This window comes from Homo sapiens, chromosome 4, assembly GCF_000001405.40.
Source record: "Homo sapiens chromosome 4, GRCh38.p14 Primary Assembly".
Classification (NCBI taxonomy): Eukaryota; Metazoa; Chordata; class Mammalia; order Primates; family Hominidae; genus Homo; species Homo sapiens.
In genome coordinates this window covers 93396293-93421518 of record NC_000004.12, presented here as the reverse complement: position 1 = coordinate 93421518, position 25226 = coordinate 93396293, and the positions used below count along the sequence as shown (strand labels likewise).

Here is a 25226-nt window from a genome sequence, read left to right as displayed (position 1 = left end):
TATTTGTAACATTTCTTTAATCTTGGTTATCTAAGGTACTTACATTTTCTAATTTTGAAAACATATTTTAGTTTCACTGTTTATATGTTATCTTAGAGCAAAATGAACTAGTAAATGGACAGTTAGTAGAGTAGGTTACTGCTAGTTGTCCTCCAGAGGAGTTCTCTTCTTCTCTAATTATATTTTTTTATATTTTACCACTATGGAGAATAAAGACAATCTGTAGTCCTACTTCAGGCAAAGTGGCTTGCTTCATGGCCATGTGACTAATTCTGGCCAACGTGATGTAAACAGGGTGGTTTGTGCAACATTTCTTATTCTTTCTGCTACCTGAAAACTAGAAAGAACATACAATGGCTGGTGCTCTGGTAACTATCTGAGACTACACACAGCAGAGAAAGGAGAGAAGTCTATGTCCCTGACACTGAAAATGCTGTACAACACTTGGGCCAACTCGCCAAGGCTCTAGAATGTAAGAAAGAAAGAAAGAAATATCCCAGCACTTTGGGAGACCGAAGTGGGCGGATCACGAGGTCAGGAGATTGAGACCATCCTGGCTAACATGGTGAAACCCCGTCTCTACTAAAAATACAAAAAAGTAGCTGGGTGTGGTGGCAGGCGCCTGTAGTCCCAGCTACTTGGGAGGCTGCAGCCGGAGAATGGCGTGAACCTGGGAGGCAGAGCTTGCAGTGAGCCAAGATCACACCATTGCACTCCAGCCTGGGCAACAGAGTGAGACTGTCTCAAAAACATAAATAAATAAATAAATAAATAAATAAATAAATAAGTAAAAATAATAAATAAACAAATAAATTTCCATATTTTTTGTTAAGGTACCGATTTTTTTCCTATTATAGTAATATTTCATGTTAATGAATATTGAAGATCATTAGATCAGTAGATGAGAGGTTTTCAGAATGAATCAGATTTCTAATAATACTGACTTGTTTAAATGACATCATAATACAAGTGAAAAGTGAACAAGCAAACCTTTAATATTATTGGTAAAATACAACACATCTTGATATTCCAAATATTCATATATTTAAAGTACATAATAAAACTTTACACAATTGGCAGAATTTGCGACATCTCATTTGGTTGTTTGGACAACTTATAGAGCTAGCCAATGATTACGCCTTGTACAAATACACTAAAGTTGGTCCTGAGGTGATTAGAATCAGAATGGATTAAAGGAATTCCAAAATAAAGATCAAATTCACAGACCATGTAAATAAGATCATAAAGTTCTATAATTAATATAGCTTTTAATGCTTGTATTGTGATATATGATGGCAGCAGAAGCATGTACTGATTTCCTTACATGCAACTCATTCATTTCTAGATTTTGAACATCTATCAATCAGCAAATTAATTGTAAGAGGATTCATGGAAGATATTATTTGACTGGCTCTTCTACCAATATTTGGAAGTCATATGCATTCTCTATTTTTCAGGACCTGCAAAACCAAAAAAAATCGGCTATGTTTATCAGTAATTTAATCACCAGGAAGTTGAATAACACTCTTCGATATGACACTTAAAAAATTATGAATTTAATTATTGCATAGGTAAATGATAGATGTGGCAAAAATACTGTCCCAATGTATATGTTGCTAAAAACTATTAATTCTTTTTCATTTTTAACTCATAACTAGCTAGACCAATTATTTAGTGTACTAAATGGTTATATTTTCTTATGTTAAATTTCTTTCTTGAAATGACTTTAATTCTACCTTTTAAGTAAATCTCTAGGCAAACAGATCCCTTGCACAAGTCTGCTGTCAAAATCTGTTCCTAGCAATGTCACCTATAACTGGTTAAAGATACAGAATAGAAATGGCTATATTAAGGGGACTTTCAAAATGAATTATTGATAACATACCTTTTAAATTTTATGCCCTAAATAAACTTTCATTGCATCCTATCATTCTTCATCTGGATCAATGTTTTTAAAGCTTTAGTTTTAAGCTCTATTACGGATTTGGACCATTACTCATAAATTCTAACTAAGACTAGTACTCTATGAGTACAACCAGCCAATATATTGGACAGGTAAACATAGCAAAAGAAATTTGGTTGAAGCTTTGGGAACTATAATAGAAAAGATACTTGTTCCTTCTCTGCAGTAATACTTAGCTTGTTTTGATCACTTTTATCTATGTACCTATCTCTAAAATTTATTCAGTCATTGATTTATCCATTTAACATTCACTGAGCAGCTAGCTACTGCATCAAGGTACTACACTCAATATAGTGAGAGATATGGTGTTAAGTCATAGATATTACTCTCAAAATAATTATACCCTATTAGTGGGGCATGTACTCAATCACTGTGCTCAACAAAAATATAAAGAAAGAAAAAGCAACACACACCATAACTGGTACTGACAGGACAACAAAGAAATACAGTAGAAACTGTAAAAAAAAAAAAAAAAAAAAAAGGAAAATCATGATTTTGGGGATTACCAGCTATATCTTTTTTAATAGATCAGAAAACTTAGGAAGAATCTCAACTCAAAGTCACACAATATGTTACAGAAGAAGGAGGCATCATAATCTGTCTTAATTGAAGCTTACCTCTTTGAAACTCTATTTTTTTCCACCTATGGATTAAAATCCAGGACTGCATAGTTTAATCTCAAATTTTAACACAATTTATGGTGGTACCCTGATGGAGGCTCCAGATTCCTGACAGAGAAAAACACAATCCTCTCTAGAAAAAGGTAATATTACTTTAGGTGTAACATGATTCCTTCAAATAATTTTTGAATATGATGTCCAAACAAAAATCAAAGAAATGTGGTGAAAAGAAATATTAGATTAGTGTAAAAGTAATTGTGGTGTTTGCCATTAAAAGTAATGGTAGAAACCTAAGTTACTTTTGCACCAACATAATAATTCTTCAATAATAGAACCTGCAGAAGAAACAAGGAACAGAAATTGATCCTCAAGAATTTAGATACTAGAATTTTCAGATGCATATTGGAAATATTATGTTTATTGTGTTTGAAGAAATGAAGGGCAATGCTTTTTTAATTGGCAGGAAACTGGAAACTACAAAGGAGTGTTGTTACGCAGTTGAAAAAGAACTAAACAAATTTGAGAATTAGAAAAGACAATTACCAAAGTTAACATATGACTGAGTCATTAATAGATTAGAAACAGATGAAGAAAGAATTCATGAATTGCAATAGGTCAGAATTAATATCCAGGGTGAAGGAAGAATAAACAAGAGGATAGAAAATCCTAAAGCAAGAATAAATAGAGGAGGAACAGAAAGTGAGGTAGTCTGATAATCCCAAGTACTGTCAAGCATATAAAGAAATAGAAGTGCTCCTATTTCTAGAAGTCGAAATAGAAGTAGGAGTGAATAGCATTCACTCCTGCTCGATATATAAATTTACAACCATTTTGAAAAATATTTTGACTTGTCTAGTAGCATACAGAGCTACTTATATACAAGTTAATATTACTTGGTTTTACGTATTACATCAATATTTATCTAGTATGAATATGCATGGCTAAGTCCTAGAAATTCCACTCCTTAGGTATGAATACAAAAGAATACTGGGCACCAAACTATACATCCAAGAATGCTCATAGCACCCTTGTCTGTAATAGCTCAAATGTGGAAACAATCTAAAAATCCAAGTGCCCATCAACATGGAAAAGATAAATATATTGTGGTACATTGATGCAGTGGAATACTAAACAGCTTAAAATTGAAGTTAACTGAAGCTGTACCCTAAAATGAATGAATGTTTAAGAGAATAATTTGAGTGAAAAAAGCAATAGCCAAAGAAAGCAGATTTTGATTCCATTTACATAACATTCAAAAATGGGTAAATTGACCATATTATTTAAGAATTCACACGTAGCTGGAGACAATCTAAAGAAAATAGAGGAAGTGATTATCTCTGGGTGGTTAGACTCTGGGATGCTGGGAAGGGTCTGATCAGAAAGATGCACTGGGGAGGTGGTTTCTGTGGTAATGACAATCGTCTGCTTTTTGCTCTGAGTAGTGTTTTCTGGATGTTACTTTACTACTTATTAATTAATGTTTCATGCTTTTTTCTGTATACATGTTATATTGCGATATCAAATAAGGATAAAAATATGTAAACTGCAAACAGATAATGGAGGGCAACGAAGCCATATTAAAGTGTCTGCTATTTACTTGACAGGGAATTGAAGATTTTGTGGAAGGGAAATGGGATAGTAAGAAAGTAATTTTAAGAGTAGAGTGTAGAATGGATTATTACAAGAGAGGGGATTAGGGGTCCTTTGCAACAGCCCAGATGACAGGAGATTATGGCTTGTGCCTATTTAACATATATTTTCAAAGTGTGAGTAGATGGCTTTGAGTCTTCCTTTATAGGGACAGAAGGGAAAATAATAAATGATAAAATCCTGTCATTAAAATTCATTTTCCAGCAATTAGTTTCAAAGAGTATTAATAGGACTTGAGTCTAAATTGGTGAAAACCTGTCTGCCTATTAAATGAAAACAAATTACAGGTTATGATTTGCTGATCATTTGCATGACAGATGCTCTAAGCACAAGCCTCAGCAACTGGAACAAACGAAGCTTTCAGAGAATGTCTGTGGTTTATCAATCTAAGTACATTAGCATGAGGATCCACAGACCTGCTTGTAGAAAAGGGTGTTTCAGTGGCTGATAATTTTCATATTAGCAAGGATTTATTCACATCACTTGTTGGGTTATTAGATAATAACTTCATGATTCTGAATCTGTATTCAGTCACTTAAAAAATCTCATGATAAATGCTTAGTTGATTTACAACACTGTTTGCAACTTGCAGATTTTGCCGTTAATTCCTATATGTTAATAACTAAGTAATATTGTTTGCTAGTGATGGCGTTGGAAAAAAGCATCTGACATTTTTGATAGGTACAAGCTACAAGCTCTACTGCCAAGGCTTTACTGAGAGCTGTTTAGAGGTTTTAATATGCACGACTACAGAATGCCAGGAAGGCCAAAACTAAGAATGAGTCACTGGAAATTCTTTATAATTCTGCTCACATATGTAGCTCAAAGACATTAAAGAAAAAAGAGACTATTTCTTAATGGCTTGTTTAAAATATTTTTTCCCTAAAACATACTCCTGGCTGAAGCAAACAATAGTTGTCTTTATGCATGGTGTGAGCTTATATTTTGCTCAAAGATGACACATTCCATTTTGATATATGCAGAATTAATGGCCACTGTTCTTCTTGGAAAAACCTCACTTTTTTTTATAGAGCATATGTGAGTATTAGAAATGTTCACAAGTTAGGAAGGCCAATGGTATGGAATTTGTTAAAAGGAGATATCAAGACACCAGAATAGAAAAACAAAATAAGGAACAGCAGTAGAGGAAGAAACAATCCAGGTGTTGTAAAGAAAACTAGTATCTGAGTTTCATGGAGAGAAGAAAAGCAGATCATCGGGATATGCAATGAAAACATTTTTAAAAAGAGGGATTGCAGGAAGATTTTATGAAGGAGCAAATGTTTATAAATAATACATTAAACTTAGATTTTAATCTTTCCTTAAATGTTTTTACCAGACAATAAGATACAATTACAAATGATAAAAGTAAATAAAAATACTGTCATCCTAACTTCTTAAATCCTTACATCTTCTATATTATCTTATATATCATTTCTATTTCTATTCTGTAAGCAATTATTTAAATACAAATATTTTAAATTGAGCATAAAGTTAAAGCTATTATTATGCAAGATGATTGATTTTTAAAATAAAATATTTTATTTTAGACATTGCTTTCAACTAATGAAATAGCCACATCTTAGTGACTTAAAGGCTAAGTGGAGAGTGGACAAGACAATTTTTTTTGTACAAAAGAATTTGAAAGAAGCATAAGTTGCTGTAAGTGGGAATACAAGGTCACCAAACACATTAGGCAATTACAATAATCCTAAGTACCCTAGTTCTCATTTGTTGGTTCTGCCTGACATTCATTTGAAAATACATTTTGGAGACTAAGATTTTATGAACCACATGATCAACCTTTAGGAACTGAAAAATACCAAACTCTCAGACTGCGTTTTGAGTATGAGTGCTGGATAATATTTTTTGTTGCTTGTTTGGTCCAAGTTTTCATTATATTAGTAAATTTGACACTTAAGTGAATCTTACATGTGTCTATCCACATGCATGAGTAAATTATATTCTCTAAATATTTGTTGAAAGTTTTCTAGGTACAAAGAACTTTGCAAGTGCAGTTATCTTAAAGAAAGCTATCAAGAAATACATTCGAGATATAACATATTGCAGCTGTAAGGAGTGACTGGCTGTACCAAATGAGAGAAGTCTGCAAGTATTTAATGGAAGACTTTGGCAACATTTGACTTCAGAATGGTGATGATATTTACAAACACTGGAGTTGATGAATCATATTTCTGTTAAAATATTATAAGAAGTAGTAATGTTAATAAATGTCAACTGAAACTTATGATATGACATTATCTGGATATAGAAGCATTTAATAAATGTAAACTAAAGCTAATTAAATATTGGAATGTAGCAGAAAGCCACACAAATATTAAAGATAAAAACCATATAAAACTTGAAAATGTTTCAGGATTAGTGGCATTTCTATCCAAAATAATATTACTTATAGGGAAATAGCAGAAATTCAGATATTTATTCAGTCATTCAAAAGAGTGTTAATGCCAGGCACACACTAAGAATACAGCAGTGAACAAAACAAACAACAAACGAACATTTCTATTCTTCTAGACCTACATTTTAGTGGGAGTGACAGACAACAAACAAAAAAGGAAATATATATATATATATATATAAAATGTCAGATGGTGATGATAGGTGCTGTGAAGAGAAATTAAACAAATAATGAGAAGAAGGCATATGTGAGAAATGATTGTACCTTCAATTAGAAAGCACCTCTGTAGAAACAGCATTCAGACAGAAGAAAGAGTAAGTATAAATACAGCAGTTAAGAGTCTCTGACTTGTTTAAGAGACAGAAGAGACACTAGCGTGGCTAGGACCAAGGAAGCTAGAGCCACATATTAGGAAATATCTGAGAGGCAATGTATTTGGATGGGGCAGAGCTTCACTAGAGTCTTTAGGCCACTATGATGATGTCAGCTGTTACTTTGACTAAGATAGGAAGCCAGATGGGCTCTGAGCAGAGGAGAGACATGATCAGATATATTTTCACAGTTTACTAGACAGTTGACAGTTACTATTGACAATAGACTGGAAGAGGCAAGTGAAGAAGCTGGGAGATCAATTAGGAGCCTTTTGCAATAAATCAGAAGTGACTTGGCAGTAAAATGGATTTAATAAGACATAATTGGATTCTAGGTAATTTTTGAAGGTAGAGCTGATGAAATTTGTTGATATATTGGATGTGGGGTTATAAGAACTTAGTGAGAAGTGATGCAACACCATCTCATACTTCCTAGAGGTGCTCAGTGGAGGCATCAGTCTTTGGAAGAGTATTAACTTCTGGGACTGTCCTTGACTGATTTTTAGTTGGAGTATGTGTCATAATAATTCTATTAGATGAACTAAAGCTTTCAATCAATAGACTAAAGTCCTCAAGGTGAATGTTCAATATGGAACCAAAGACAGTATTCTGTAAAAACCTGCAGCACTGAATACAAAATTAACACACATTCAAATTTAATGGAGGAAAGCATTAAAATGTATACTTTCTTTTTTATCCCTACATAATTGTGACTTAGAATTATTTAGAAGAGAAATATTATTTATGAGAAGAAAAAATAATTAAAGTCATAATCTTTAAAGCTTAAATTTTAAAAAGACAAAGTTTAACAGCAACCATTGAGGGTGAATTATTTATTGTTTTGCTCTCTTAACATACCTTTGGGGAATACAAATTAAAATAACAAGAACTATTTAATTTATTGCTTATCTGACTGGCAAGGATAAAAATGAATGTTAACATTTATCAGCAAGCATGTGAGAAAGTAGACTTTCTCATGCACTACTTATGTGAATTAAAATTGGTAAAAGTTTTCCAGAAAACAAATTCACAATAAAAAAGTGAAAGCCTCAACCCCATAAAAAAGTGGGCAAAGGATATGAACAGACACTTCTATAAAGAAAACATATATGTGACCAATAAACATATGAAAAGAAGCTCAACATTCACTGATCATTAGAGCAATGCGAATCAAAACCACAATGAGATATTATCTCACACCAGTCAGAATGGTGATTACTAAAAAGCTGGGAAACAGCAGATGCTGGCAAGGCTGTGAAGAAATAGGAACGCTTTTACACTGTTGGTGGGAGTGTAAATTAGTTCAACCATTGTGGAAGGCAGTGTGGCGATTCCTCAAGGATCTAGAACCAGAAATACCATTTGACCCAGCAATCTCATTACTGGGTATTTACCCATAGGATTATAAATCATTCTACTATAAAGACACATACACACAGATGTTTACTGCAGCACTATTTACAATAGCAAAGACTTGGAACCAACCCAAATGCCCATCAATGATATACTGAATAAAGAAAATGTGGCACTTACACATCGTGGAATACTGTGCAGCCATAGCAAAGAATGAGATCATGTCCTTTGCAGGGACATGGATGAAGCTGGAAGCCATCATTCTCAGCAAACTAACAAATGAACAGACAACCAAACACTTCATGTTCTCACTCATAAGTGGGAGTTGAACAATGGGAACACATGGACACAGGGAGGGGAACATCACACACTGGGGCCTGTTAGTGGGGTAGGCAAGGGGAGGGAGAGCATTAAGACAAATACCTAATGCATGTGGTGCTTAAACCCTAGATGACGGGTTGGTAGGTGCAGCAAACTAACATGGCACATGTATACCTATGTAACAAACCTGCGCATTCTACACATGTATCCTGGAACTTAAAGTAAAATAAAAGAAAAAGAAAAATAAAAGTGAAAGGCTGTAAATTTTTTATATTATCTCATCTAATAATTGTACATCTAAATAATCATAAATGAGCATAAATGTGCACAAGTATATATTTTTAAAACGTTCATTGCAAGTTATCTAGGAAGAAGTTGAAAACAACCTAAATACGCTACAATCAGAGATGGGTTTTGTTTTGCTTTAAGATATGGGGTCTTGTTATCTTGCCCAGGTTGAAGTGCAATGGCACAATCACGGCTCATTACATCCTCAACCTCCTGGGCTCAAGCAATCCTGCTTCAAACTCTTGAGTAGCTGGGAATACAGGCACACACTGTTATGCCTGGTATTTTTTTTTGGGGGGGGGGGATGGGTCTTACTATGCTGCCCAGGCTTGTCTCAAAGTCTTGACCTCAAGTGATCCCCAAATGCTGGAGTTATAGGCATGAGCCACAGAACCCAGCCTGGGGCTTTTTTTTTTTAAGTCTATCTGTATGACACAGCACAGCACATTGGGCTGTCAACTTCAGTGTCTCAATGCCCTGTCACATAATTATCTACACAGAGTTGGACTATAGGTCATTTTTTAAAAAACCAAGAATAGCATTTTGAAGTTCGGGATTGGTTTGTTTTTTTCTTTTTTCTTTTTTTTTTTTTAATAGAGAGATTCAAAAATATCTCTGTAAAGACATTAATTTGCATTTCAACATAGTTCAGGGAATGAGAAATAAAACTGTCAACAGTTAGAAGGCTGGGAATTACATACAACCCTAGATAAATTAATAGACATTTGAGGCAGCTGTAGAAATTATTCACTAAGTGGCTGAAAAAATCTACTGATCACATCTGTTAAAAATATCTATTCACAGCTGGTCACGGTGGCTCATGCCTGTAATCCCAGCACTTTGGGAGGCCGAGGCAGGCAGATCACGAGGTCAGGAGTTCAAGACCAGCCTGGACAACATAGTGAAACTCGTCTCTACTAAAACTACAAAAATTAGCCAGGTGTAGTGGCATGCACCTGTAGTCCCAGCTACTCTGGAGGCTGAGGCGGGAGAATCGCTTGAACCCGGGAGGCGGAGGTTGCAGTGAGCTAGGACCACGGCATTGCACTCCAGCCTATGTGACAGAGTGATAGAGTAAGACTCCGTCTCAAAAAAAAAAAAATCTATTCAATTAAAAATACTCATTTGCATATTGCTAAATGGGAAGAAAATGTACAAAGCTACATTTTTGAATTTGAAACATGTGTGTACATGTTTGAAATTGAAAAAAATAATAGCAGCAAATATTCATATGGAACTTAGTATGTGCTGGGTACTTTAAAAACTTTTTGTGTATTCATGCTCAATAGTTTTATGAGTTTGGGACCTCAATTACCTCAAATTTTATAGATAAGGAAATGTAGTTAAGTTTAGCTAGTGGTAGACACTAAAATATTAGCAAGTAACTTTTGATGGAAGAATTATTTATGATTTTGCTGTTAATTTTTGTTTTCCATATTTTCTGTTTTTTTGTCATTAAATATAGAATACTTTTTTCAATAGTACTCGTGGATAATGAGTCTGAAGCAGGAGAGAGAGGCTAGGGTTGGAAATAAAAATTTGTTTATAACTTTCTAGAAAGTAAATGAAGTCATTCAATAAAGTATAGTGAAGGCCAGGGATGAAACTCTGGAAGAAGAGAATCCAATGAAGGAGGTAAAAGGAATAGAGAGGCCGGGCACTGTGGCTCACGCCTGTTATCCCAGCACTTTGGGAGGCCAAGGCGGGAGGATCACCTGAGGTCAGGAGTTCGAGATCAGCCTGACCAACATGGCAAAACCCTGTCTCTACTAAAAATACAAAATTAGCCAGGCATGTTGGCGCATGCCTGTAATCCCAGCTACTTGGGAGACTGAGGCAGGAGAATCACTTGAACCCAGGAGATGGAGGTTGCAGTGAGCCTAGATCATGCCATTGCTCTCCAGTTGGGGCAACAAGAGTGAAACTCTGTCTCAAACAAACAAACAAATAAACAAAGGAATAGAGAGGTCAGAATCAGAAGATGTTGAAGATGCAAGAGAGGACAGGGCTTCTGGGAGTAAATTGCCAGTGGATTCCAATGGAGGTGAGAGGTCCAGGAAGGTAAGGTCTGAAAGCATGCATTTAATTTGTCACGTAGAAGATCATGAAGACAAAAAAGCAATTTGTTTGGAGAAGTGAAAATAGAAGCCAAATATCAATGATTTGAGGATAAAAATAAATGACAAAGTGAAGACAACTGAAGAGTCTGAGACACTTACACGAGAAAAGAATTGGTAGAATAAAGGAGATTCAGAGCAAAAGAATGCTTTTTTTTACCTTGAACATATTTTCAGGCTACAGGAAAAAGCAAATAAAAACAATAAAAAGCTTACTTTATGCCTGTCATCATCCTTATCACTTTACGTTCATTACCTCATTTAGTTTTTTTATTTTTTGGTATTGTTATTGTCATTTGCAAAGGAGAGAACTGAAACTTGAGGGTAGATAAATAATGTAAAAGTATATAATATAGTTCACATAACTTGAGTTAGAATATTGTGAAATTTTCTAAACCAATATTGATTTGATTATGGTAGTCAGTCTACCTGTTTTTTATATCTTTGAATTTGCAAATGACTCTGTCGATCTCTCTCTAAACTTCTAGAGACAAGTAATAAATCTGTTTTCAGAAGTAAACTGTATAACACATCTCTGAAATATTTACTCATTGTTTAATCTAAAAATGCAGTTTCCAGCTTCCAAGAGGAAAAAAGTTTGAAGTTACAAAGCTAGTAAGAAAGATTGAAATTTGAATCCAATGCCCTCTGGTGCTGAAGTTCATATTCTTAACCATTAATTTAGACTGCCTCCATCAGTATATGGGTATGCATGTGTGTATACTGCAGGTTGCAGAAACTACATGGTTGATAAAGAACTTGGGGTACTCTTAGTCTTTGACATGGTCGTGTCAAAATCTCTCTCTCAGTGTGTGTGTGCCTGTTGCTTTCTCTTTCTCTCTTTCTACTATACCTAAAAAATGCTTTATATCTAGAATAAATCTACTTATACTTTCTCTTTTTTTCCAAGCCACACTTCAACTTTCATCAGCATATTGAAGGAATCACAGTTTTAGCATAAAGATTAAAGTGAAAATATTTGAAATCTGATCTGACTTTCCCTTACCTAACTAAAGCTGACACTACCCCCAATACAGCTGCTATTAACTCTCCTCCAAGAGCTTTCTGCTAATCCCAGGAAGGAGATCAACTACACATTGATGCCCTAGCCACACTTCCCTTCCCTTTTTTAAGTTGCTATACCAATCTTTACCTCTGGGTATTCAGGAAACGACTCATTATTGAGTGACTTCACATGCATGTGTAGATTAACCTTTTCTTTTCTCCTGTTAATCTGTCTATTATCAGTTAATTCACAGGCCCCTAAACATAGGAACCTAAGTGGGTAGAGGAAATGTTTTCCTCCCAATGGTATTAAGTCATTTTCCAGAGCAAAGAGTCTCTTCCCTAAAAGATGTGGAGAGAACAAGGTACATAATTATTTTGCTACCCCTACTCTATACCCTTTGTAGACACTACCCTCACTATTTCAGCCACTGGCCTGGCTGATCTAAGGTTTTAAGAATAAGGTGACAGGTTTTCTATTTCTAGTGAGATGAATGCTTTCTGAGGGATGTACCTTTTTCTTTTGATTTTATTATGAAGCACGGTGGGAAACTTAAAAGAAAAGATCTCCTGCATAGAGGGCAGAGACCTAAGAGTAGACAGCAGAAAGGTGCTGATATTTAAAAGCAAGAAACAAATCTGCAGGGATTTACAAAAGAATGTGGAGACATCTGAACTTAAAGCTACAAAGGCTTTAAGTTTCTGTGTGTCACAATAAGCATATAAAGGAATATTACTACATATTATTAAGATTAATAATAAGGCACATAAAAATGACCTCTGTGCCAGCTCTTATCAAAAGGACTGTGGATCCAGACTGTAGTACTGAATTAATTATTAGCACATATATAAAAAATTAAACGGAGATTCCTATAATTTACTGGAAAATATAAAGATGCATATTTTTATTGCTATATTTTATTGCATAATAAATTGAAAAGCTTGACCTAAAATCAGCCCTTACACCTACCCTGCCTATAAGATCCTGCTTTCCTGCCTAGATGAAACAAATGTCACTTGCAAGTGATTAAAAAAAAAAAGAAAATGAGCATTAGTCCTATTTATTCTTGCATTTCTCAGCATATGTTCCAGCAGTGTCACCAAATGTAATATTACATGTATCGAAATGCATCTTAATTCCTGAGACGTGTATCGAAGTGCATCTTCCCTGAGACTGATAAAACAAAGGAGGGGTAATTTTCAAACGCTTTGTTTTTGATGAGTGTTCTGTTAAAAAATTCTCCTTCACTTTTAAAACAGTGAAAGACCTTGCTTTCAAATGCTAATCAGCTGCTTCTTTATTCCCCAGTAGACTTCAGACTACTCGGCCTCAATACTTTTTTCTTGAGTACTTTACTGACCATGGTCTTGGAGATTACATTTGGCTCAGAACACCATCCTAGCTTGTTATTTTTAATTGAATTGCAAAGTACATTACTCTACATAAGAATCATTGGGAAAATATTTAGTCTGAATATTTTGTTTTCCCAATTCAAAAATCATACCACTAGCAATGGTTAAAAATAAAAATGAAGAAGAAGGAGGAGAAGGAGAAGCAGGAGGTGGAGGAGGAGGAGGAGGAGGAGAAGGAGGAGGAGGAAGAGGAGGAGGACGAGGAGGAGGACGAGGAGGATGAGGAGGAGGAGGAGGAGGACGAGGAGGAGGAGGAGGAGGAGGAGGAGGAGGAGAAGGAGGAGGAGGAGGAGGAGACCTTCCAAACATGAAAAAAAAAAAATTCTGAAAAATTGTAAAGTTCCTTTGCTCGTGCTAACTTCCATCACCTAGAGAAACTGAAATTCCTTGCTGAACAATTTTAAACATGATGCAAGGATCACATATTCAGTTTCAAGCATTATGGACTTTTTTGTTTCTATCCAGGCTAACATAATACTTGGAAGTTTACCTGGAGATGCTGTGAAAATAACACCTTAAAACCAAAACCTCTGTATTTCGACCGATCATTAAAAATCCCAAGGAACATATTATAAAAAAGTATATTACCTTCCTTCCTTTGATCAGCTTTTCCATTTCTGGGACTTCCATGCAGTATGGTGGGTCTCCCCTTGATTATCTTCCCACCTCCCAGAAGGAGCTGAATTTTAATAGCATGTTCACTATTCCAGAAGCTGACAGATGAGTAAACCAGCCCCAGATTTGGATGCTTTTTGAAGATATCTATTCTCATTTCAGACTCTCCTAGAGTACCATGTAATGCAGTGGATAGTGATTTGATCAATGCTTCTCTATTGGTCAAAACCTCTTACTGTGCCTTTGAAAGAATCCAAGTTCCAGTTAGGGACTTAGTTTTTTCTTTGGTAAGGCTGCCATGGAAGACTGCAGCATTTTGGGAGGGACAGGAAAAGCATATGTGATTTGTCAAAATTTATTTTCTTTTGTGAACTGAAATCCAATCATGATGTTGCAACTTTAAGGTTGCTTTTCTCTACTGAGAAGGAAGATTTCCAAAATGTGAACAAGAAAAACTTTCTGTGACGTTTTTTCGTCGTTTACCCAATGCTAATTTATATCAGCTATGAAACAGCAAGAACATCAACATGCTCTTGGAGCTCAGAAGGGGAAGATGAGCGTGCAGCTTCCTAACAAAAAACTGGACATTTTGGGAGGTCAGGGAAATATGTAAAACACAGAAATAGCAAGGTGTGTGGGAGTATCCTACTTTATATCTATATAGATATTTAGATATTCACCTAAATTTCTATCGATCACTACACAACTCAAAGATAAATACATACTTTCTACATTTTCTTTTGAATTCTTGATACAATACGATCTCCCCAAATGAAACCTTTCTCAAAAATCATGTGTGAGCTCTGGCGATTGTTCTGATTCCTGTCATTCTTTGCCCACACTTGTAGAATTTCTCTCTAGCATTGATGGTCTAGTACTCAGGCAAGATTCACATTTCTGTAAATATTTTCCTGCTCAGCTCCCTCTAATTTACAACATATCTCAAAAATGAGATAATATGCGCCAACCACATCAGCTTTCTCACCCTCTGATCTCTACTTCGTAAACTCAGTGAGGCTGACAAGTTCTGTTTTGGATCCATACTTTCATGTCTCCAGTATGGAAACTGCCAGCAGCAAGAAAGCTGGGATAATTGTTGGGATCATTTAGTTGTTTCCAACCTTTTAGGTATCAAAGTCCATTTCTACCAATTGACTAATGTCTGAAAAGGTTTTTCCATACTTGGCTCAGTTTTATAGCCTTTTGTGGCAGGAAATTAGGCCAGTCCTTGTTAGAATCATCATGGCTGGGAGTAAATTAGATAGATAAGGATTCAATGCTTATTTTTAGCATATTTGTAACTTGAAGAAGTTATTTAATAACTCTATCCTAGCCATATCAATAAAATATGAAAAAAATTAATAATCTTAAAGGTTCAGTAAAGACTAGAGAAAATACTAACAATGAGATTTATTAGTAAGCTAGATGGTAATGTTATCTGTAAGCTTTAATAGCTACTAATGTGTTCCTTTGTAACTCTGAAATGTAAAATCTATTTCAGTAGCATCTCTCAAGTTTTTATTTATATTCATGTTCATTTCTGAAGAATTTTATGTGGAACTGGTTTTGTCTTGTGATTATGTTGAAACTACTGCATTGCCAAAAGATGACTTAAAGCTTCAAGGACACCTTAACATTATGTTTTTGTTCAGATGGAGTGGTACACTGCATTTCTGAAAGTATATAATGTAGTTCATGTAATTTCGGTTAGAATATTGTGAAATGTTCTAACCAAATATTGATTTGATTATGGAAGTCAATCTACCTACTGTTTTTATATCTTTGAATTTGCAAATGACTCTGTCAATCTCTTTCTAAATGTCTAGAGACAAGTAGTAGATCTGTTTTTCAGAAGTAAATTAGATAACACATCTCTGAAATATTTACTCATTGATTAGTCTAAGAATTCAGGTTCCAGCTTCCAAGAGGAGAAAAGTAGGGTCATGCATGGCTACCACATATACAATAGCAATACTCACACATGTCTGTGCAACAGCTATCATTTCAAGAATTGGTGTGATACAAAAGAATAAGAAATTGTCAAGCCATTGTCATGCATCAATTCTTATGGTGATTTTATTTAGTGAGCGCTGAAGTGAACACATATACTATGGTTGCTCTAAATTACATCATTTGCATAGGCCATTTTTCTTTAAGAGTCTGTTTATAAAAATCATATTTTCCCCATTCACCTAAGATGAGTACACTCAGAAGAAGAGACAAAACAAAATATGTACACAACACAGAGCTATGTCTACTGATTACACTGTTTCAATAATAAAAATGAGTACTATTTTACCTAAACTTTACACTGGATCAGAGTTGTAGCAATGTTATTTTTAACTTGGTGAATATTATTTACATCATACAATATTACCTTCATAGTCACAGAGAAATTTCTTACTGAATTGTCTCTAAAGGAACTCTTAAAAAAGAGAAGACATGACACATAGGTTGCTGGAATTTTCTGTATTTCAATTTCATATACTTCAGAAAATATTTGAATTTACTTTTAGGATACTTTAAATTCTTGATAGAATATCATATCTACATACTTCCGCATATACTCTTTCTAATGCTGGATATCCCTTCCCTCTTATCTATTCCTTGATAATCCCTGCTCATCTTTCAAGATGAATTTAAATATCATCCTTTAAGCCTTGCCGACTGCCTTACCCATAAGTTGGATACTTCTTTCATGCTCTCCCTTAACAGTCTGTGCATAAGAAGAATGGACACATATCACACTTTTCATGTGCCAGGTTCTGTTAGAAGGTCTTTGTTCTTTGCATGTACTAGTTATTTGAATTTTTATAACAGCTTTATGAGGTAGGTAATTTATATTATCTCCATTGTACAGATGAAGAAACAGAATCATAGAGTTTAAATACCTGGCCTACATTCACAGGTAGGAGAGGTGGGGATTTAAACATAGGCAGTCTGGGGAACCAGACTCTCTCTTTTTTAAAAAGTAGCTTTATTCAGATATAATTTACATAATATACAATTCACCCATCCAAAGTGCACAATCCAATAGCTTTAGTATATTCGCAAATATGTGCAATCATCATTGCAGTCAGTTTTAGAACTTTATTACCAGCTCCCCCTCAAAAATGCCACTCTTGTTAGCTGTCATCTGCCAATCTCCAAAACTTTCCCAGACCTAGGCAATCACGAATTACTTTTTGCCCCTGTGAGTCCCTATAGATTTGTCTATTCTGAACATTTCACAGAAATGAATTCATATAATACATGATCCTCTGTGTCTGGCTTCTTTCCCTTAGCATGCTTTCAAGGTTCATCCATGCTGCACACTGTTATCAACATGTAATTTCATTCTATTGCCAAATAATATTCCATTTTATGGTATACTACATTTTATGTATCCATTCACCAGTTGATAGACCTTTGGGTTGTTTCCATTTTTGGCTGCAATCAACCATGCTGCTATGAGCATTTGAGTACAAGTTTTCATATGGACATATGTTTTCATTTCTCTTGGGATTATATATACAGTGGAATTTGTAATCATGTAGTGACTCTACTTTTAACCATTTGAGGAACTGCTAGACTGTTTTCTGAAGGAGTCGTACCATTTTACATTCCTACCAGCAATGTATCAGCATTCTGATTTTTCAACATCCTTGCCAACATTTGTTATTATCTGTCATTTTGAATATAGCCATCCTAGTGGGCTTGTAGTCATAGCTCATTGTGGTTTTGATTTGCATTTCCTTGATGGAAAACTATGCTGAGCATCTCTTCATTTGCTTACTGACCATTTATATAAATATATCTTCATTGCAGAACTGTTCAGATCTTTGCCCATTTTAATTTTTTTTAATTTTGTTTATATTTCTTCATACTGAGTTATAATATTTTTGTATATGCTAAATATCACTTATGAGATATATGATTTGCAATTATTTCCAGAGAATGTAAACTTTTTTGTTAGTGTTGTTTTTTGTTCATTTCTTTTTCATTTTTGACATCTCTGCTTATTTTGCTGGGGAGTGGGTCCATGGAACTCCTCATTTGCCACCCCAGAAGTGAAACTGTGGGAACTGTGTTCTTAACCACAATGCTATCCTGTGTATTTCCATTGTAGGATTATTACATGGCACTTATCATATTTTATTGTGACTTTAAGTTTATTTTAGATATCAGCCCCTGGAAATTTCCTCAGCCAGAGTTGTCATTCTTGCCTGGAGTCCTGAACCAAACTTTATTATTTATTAACTCCTCCGAAGGAGCCCTCGTAAGACATTGCTGTGGGAGCCACCAGAGCTTGCTGTCAGCTCTCTTCCCAACTCCTTGCTGTGAGGGCTTGCCCAGTAGAGTCTCTTGACAAGTTTACTTTCCCAACCCCTAACCTTGCCTCCAGGTTCAAGAGGCTCAAACGCTGGGACCTCAGAAAAGCTTGAACTTTGAGGTAGCGATGAAAATTCTGAAAGTCTCTAAGTAGCAAACACTTGGACAATGTCCTTAGCAAAAAATTTAAGGACAATGACGTTTCAGAACTATCACTGGAGGCATTTGTTTAGTTATATATTAAAATATAGAGTCTATTTAAAGCTAGCCTGGAATCAAACACAGTTTATATGAGATAATATAATTGATATATAAACTTCTAGATATTTTTGAAAATCATAATTCAGGGTGCTTTTGTTTTCGGTGGTAGGTGTTTTTTGTGCATTTTTCCTCTAGGAAGTACCAGCTTCACTGGCAGAAGAGTTCCTGTGGTCCTCATTAGCAGGTTTTCAAATTGAGGTAACAGTGACGGGGCCTAAAACTCATTATTCTGCAGTTTACATTTGTTTGTCTCCCTTAGAGTCCTCCAATCTCCCACAAAAATCTGAAGTTTGATGACAATGAATAATTAGACTTTTATGATCACTCATGCTTTTTTTTCTTTACTGAGTTTACACATCATAGTTTTACTGCAGAGATAATGTATGTAGAAGCACTGTTCATTTTGCTACCTGCTTTCACATAGTTTCATCCAGTTAATATAGTAGTAACCCTTTGTGATTGGTTTTATTATTCCTGTTTTACAGATGGAAAAATTGAAGTTCAGAACAGCGTCTTGGTTTCCATAAATTCAAAGATCAATTAAGCAGAAAAACTAGTACGATACTAAAAGTCATACCTTTTGACTGCAAGTTGAGTGCTTTTTGCAGTGTGTGCCAAAGCTTCTTAGCATAGGTGTATTAAATAGAGGAGACTTGGTGAAATAAAGGCAACAAAATTGTGTGAAGTACTTTGAATAAAAAATGAATTATATATTATTTATTCCTTTGTTAAAAGGTATATTAAGAGGAAATTAAGTACATTGCTTTACTTCATGCTGATGTATATAAATAACTAAATCTAACCTAAATACTTTTTTTTTGTTTTTGTACAAATTAAGACTCTGGTGCCCATATATCAGTCACAATCTCCATAAAAAAAAAAAAAGAAATTCCAAAAAGTGAGACTAATGATGGATATTTTTTAGGAAAAAGAAATTACTCAAAATGATAACTCAGTAGGTGGCTGTCTGCTGCAGCCAGGCAAACAATCCTTCCTTTGGTGAGTTGCTTAGAAAAACCTACCATTCTCTCAATAGATATTTTGGATATTGCTTTGTGGTAATGATTCAAGATAAGCTATCTCTGTGTATTTCCTATTTCTGTGTATATCCTTCTATGATTGAGGCAACAGTTTTAATTTAGACAGTAATTTTTCTCATTGCTATTACTGTCCTATGTTTTCTAATTGGTATATTTCCTACTGCCTTTTCTTTTGGAGGTATTCTTTAAAATAGTTATTCTCTTTATGTGGCTTCTTGCCCAGTGACGTTTAACTTAACTTTCCAGGAATATCCATTAACTTAATTTGTAAAAATACCATACATTATTTAATCTAAAATGTTTCCTATTGTAAGATGTGCAACTATTTTACACATCACTAATAAAGACAAACATGGTGCTAATTACAATTGCAAATAGAAGTTGAAGGATGCATCCTAATTTTAGAGAGATTAAAATATGAAAAACTATGTTTTTTAATTTATAAAATGCAGAAAAATCACTATCACAGTCTTTACTATAGACTTCCAGTCATATATTTATATATGAATTCAATTTATATATTGAATTATTTTTATGGTAATTCTAGGCAAAAAAATGCTCTATTGTGTATTTAATGGAGAACAACTGCACTGCAGTTTTTCAAGACTATTTTGAGAGCTTTAGAAGATATCTTGCAAGAATCAAACTCCCTGGATGGGTGCGGTGGCTCATACCTGTAATCCCAATACTTTGGGAGGATTACTTGAGGCCAGGAGTTCAAGACCAGCTTGGGCAACATAGCGAGCCCCTGTCTCTACGAAAAATAAATTAGTCAGGCACGGTGGCATGCACCTGTAGTCCCAGCTACTCAGGAGGCTGAGGTGGGAGGATTTCTTGAGCCCAGGAGTTTGAAGCTCCAGTGAGCCATGATCATGCCACTGTACTCCAGCCTGGGTGAAGGAGTGAGAGCCTGTCTCAATAAAAACAAACAACAAAAAAACTCTCTAAAGTCAGGATCTTTGACTGTTTTGTGTGAATTCATGAGTGAATGTATGTTTATTAGGAATGTATATGTCTTTTTTAAGGCCAATCAAAGTAGGTAAATAAGAATTACTAATCAGTGAGCTCCTCCCAAATGCCAATTTATGGTTCTCAGATATCTTATACTTGTTGCAGCATAGCTTCGCACGCCTTTCTTTTAATTTGTAACCAATTCCTTTCCATTTTATTATCATATATATTATGATTATGTTTATAACTCAGTAATGTTTCCAATAGTGTTTTCATGAATTACCATGAAAACAATTGAATGACTTAATTGGTCATTTATTGCTATCTACATTGCATAACTCAGGAAGTTAAAAACGGGAAAATCTTCATAATTCCTTTGTAGTAATACACTTGGACCACTTGGTAAGAAGTAAAGATCAGTGGGCAAATTATGGAAACAAAGAGATTAGAAGAGACACCAAGTAGTAGAGACTGCTTTTATTATCATTCTTTCTTTTCCTCCATTTCTAAGACATATTTCTGTGGCTTTGGTGATGGTTGAATACAAAGAAATCTATATATGAAGAAATTTAGGAAAATTCTCCTAAGTTATCAATCCAACATATGCAATCCTCACATCTCAATAATTATATCAAATTTCATTTATACCTAACATGAGTCCATTCTGATTCAGAAGGAAGATTATCAGAGTGGCTAAGGACATGGTTTGTGGAACCAGGATCTCTGATCTTGAAATTTATGTCTGGCTCCTGCTAGCTATATGGAGGCAGAAATTTAGTTAACTCTTATGTACCCTATTTTTATCCTTATAATGTAATTAGTGCCACTCATATGAAATTTTATAAGGATTAAATAAGTTAATATATATAACCTTCTTATAATAGGTCCTATCAAATGGTAGATGCTCGTGTTGGTTTTTCTCTACTTTTCTTCTGGATTCACTGAGGGCTTCACTGCCTTCCTCTGTGTCCTGAAAGACTAACTTTCATGGTCTTCCTTACTTAGGCTCCCATAACCTCTGACTTCTGGTTGGATTTGCAGTTGGAGACCATGAAAAGAGATAGATAAGAGGAGTGAGATCAGTGTATCCCTTATTCCCAGTTCCTCATAGCCTGATTTTGGTATTGGCAGTGATTCTCTTTCTTTTTCTGCACTGTAGCTCACTACTACTATGAGTGATGGTCTCTCTCCCATGGCTCTATTGCTTTGTCTAGTAATAATGCTTCCTCCCATGCCTTATCAGTCTTCATGTAAGTCATCTAGGTAGGTTCTGGTGATTCAACACTCCTTGTTGATTCCTTTAACACTATTTACATCTTCGTCAATAATACCTCTATTTAACTCTTCAATGAAATGTTTGAGAGCACCACTTATTTGCCCATGGGATCACAAACAGTAGAGTGCTGAATTGTGTAGTTTAAAATAAATATGAAGTTATTTCTTTCAAGTCAATAAAATATCAACAGTCATAAGAATGGGAATTTCAAAATTTTGGTAAGAAAAATCCATTTTATTAACCTGGTGTAATTGATAATATAAAATTTCTTAAGAAAAGAGGGAGTGGGTAGAGCTAAGACTAGATTTCAGTTTCAATAGAAGAAAGGAGGAAATAGCTTCTTCCCATGTACACATTGGTCCTTTCCCTTTTCTCTTCTGGAAAGTGTTGGACGTAAATACTTGGAATATAAGGGGGTGGGAGGTTGCGTTTAGGTGACAACATCAAGTTGAGTATAGATTAAATCCTAGTTTCAGGGTTTAGTGAGGTAAAGCCTCAAGATTCGGGAGTTGCTGGGTGGGGTGAGGGGAGAGTGGTTCTCAGTGTTGAGTAGAAGAAGCTTGCAAGGCCATATAACTAAGAGCTAGACCTGAAAAGGCACTTGTAGAAAATAAATAAGAAGGGAATGACTGGTTTCCATTCTCAGAGTAGTTACAGAAAGACATAGGAAGCATGCAAAATTATTAAACACAATGATTGTATATTGTAGTAATGTAATAAGTATAACAACCTGTTACTCAACTGGCACCCAACTGATAAGTCCATCATAGAAGACTTGAAAAAAAAAAAAAAAAACACTGCTTCCATGTCTCCAGTCACAAAACCATATTCAATATCTGTGCAGGGCTAAGCTTGCAGGAAATAGAGATTATTAAGAGTCATGAAGGTGAACCTGGGGTATGCAGGTGTTAACACTGTGTGAAGTGCTACTATTTCATGAACAAAATAGCAATTGTTTTATTCAGCCTGGAAATGAATTTAACATGATTGTACCTACAATCCTTCCCAATAAAACTCACTTTCACCTTATTCAGACGTAAGCATTTTCAACTCTCAAGTCAAACAAAATTCTATAGACACCTCAGTTCTCACACTTATCACAGTAGGACTGGAGACAGTATAATGTATCATTAAGAGGGAAGGGGTTAACGTCTAGAATCTGTCTTCCTGAATTTGAATCCTAACTCTGCTACTTACTGTCTGTAAAACCACAAGGCTCAGGTAATACTTACCAGAGCAGTTACCACACGTAGAATCGCTCCTTGCATGTTATTCTTCAATTTCTTCTAGGTTCATGTATTTATGAACATTATACAGATAGTAAGTAGCAGAGTTAGGATTCAAATTCAGGAAGTCTGATTCTAGACCTTAACCCCTTCCCTTAATGATAAGATATATATATATATATATACACACACACATACATGTATGTATTTCAACTTCTGGATGTCTCAGTTTCCTCTTGAGATCAGAATATTACCTATTTCTTGAGAATATTGTGAGGACAAAATAAGACAATACATGCAAAAGACTTAGTAGAGTAGCTTGCACATAGTAAGTACAGTTAACACTCCATATCCACAGGTTCTGCATCTAGACTCAACTCCATAGATTCAACAAACTGAGGCTCAAAAATATTAGGAAAAAAACCCAATAAAAATAACAAAAATAAATATATAATTCGGTAGAGCCACTACTTACATAGCATTTACACTGTATTAGGTATTAAGAGTAATCTAAAATGCTTTAAAGCATATGAGAGGAGGTACATAGGTTATATGCAAATACTATATCATTTTATATCAGAAACTTAAGAATTTGCAGATTTTGGTGTGGGGGTTTCCTGGAACCAATGCCTCACAGACACCAAGGGTCAACCATATTTAATCAATCTGAGCTGTTTTTCTCTATGTGCATCAACCTAACAAGATTCTATGAATACTTTGAGGACAAGGTCTGTATATTATTTCTCTTATATCCATTACTGAGTCTATCATATAGTAATTGCGAAATAACTATTTGCTTAAAACTGACTGAGGTTAATTGGACTTAAAGATTTGCTTTCTTTTCTCAAAGGAAAACAAAGCACATATACCGTCTTTCACTGCAATCATCACTGGAGTTTTCATGCTAATCACTGGAGGAAAGACTATTAATAATTTGCTGTACTTTAAATATCTGTCTTTTTTAATATTAGTGCATCAATGTAAATGCATATCAATACCCTTAGGTACATACAGAAGCGAATTCACATTTAAGTTGTGAAATACTTACAATTATTTACCAAAAGCAATTAAGCCCTTTTAAAAATAATAACTAGGAATAATTTATGGGCCACAAAAAAAGAAGAATAGGTCACTCACTTGAATGTCCTTTCATAGAAAATATGCACAAATCCACTTTTTTGACAATAAAATTACATTGCATATATTTAATTTGTAGTAAACAATGTACAAAGGGCAGCAACTGGTGTTATAAAATTTGATGAACATCCAATTAGCATCAACGTATCAAAAAGTCTTCCTCTCCTATTTACTAATTCTGCAATTTACCTAGCCCATAGGAAAATCTTTTTCAAAATTAAAAACAAGTAGACTTTTCTGAAGAAAAATAAAGTACTAACTATGGACTATTACGTTTTGAAACAGGCTATAAACTAGCACATGATTAAACACATTGGAATAGCAAAGGAGAATGTATGCCTTCGTGGTTTATGGCTATTTAGACAGAGCCCATTTGAGTATTTTACTGTTTAAGAATATTTCTATTAACATCTTATTGTATGTATCTATTAGGAAAGAAAACTATAATGTATAGAATTATAACAGTTACCATTTATTGACTTTTTAATAAGTAAATGAAATTGTAACAGATCTTTCCCAGGTATACAGTAGACTCTTCTTATCCATGGTTGCTCTTTCACCAGTTTCGGTTACTCCTCAATCAGCCATGGTCCAAAAAATATTAAATGAAAACTTCCAGAAATAAACAATTTATAAGTTTTGAATTTAACATTGTTCTAAGTAGCATGATGAAATCTCACACCATCCCACTGACATGCCCTGGATGTGACTCATCCCTTTGTCCAGCATATCCACACTCTATAACCTATAAGCCCTACACAATGTGATTGTGTTGGAAGAAAACAAAACTATCCACAGTTTCAGGCATCCACTGGGGGTCTTGGAATGCATCCCCCACAGATAAAGGGAAACTACTGTAATCCTATTCAACATTCACAGAATCACTAGA

General features: G+C 34.7%; 1 protein-coding gene across 18 annotated transcripts in view, besides 1 other annotated feature; it reads right to left on the bottom strand.

The window, feature by feature from the left end:
* GRID2 (glutamate ionotropic receptor delta type subunit 2) overlaps window positions 1-25226 on the bottom strand; it is a 1506491-nt gene that overhangs the window by 388938 nt on the left and 1092327 nt on the right. The gene's annotated exons all lie outside the window — the stretch shown is intronic.
* Window positions 11897-12671: an enhancer, noted in NCBI's record as "OCT4-NANOG hESC enhancer chr4:94329999-94330773 (GRCh37/hg19 assembly coordinates)". NCBI's record gives its function as "activates a minimal SCP1, AML or CMV promoter by ChIP-STARR-seq in naive H9 embryonic stem cells {active_cell/tissue: H9 hESC(naive)}" and the evidence as "EXISTENCE:reporter gene assay evidence [ECO:0000049][PMID:30033119]".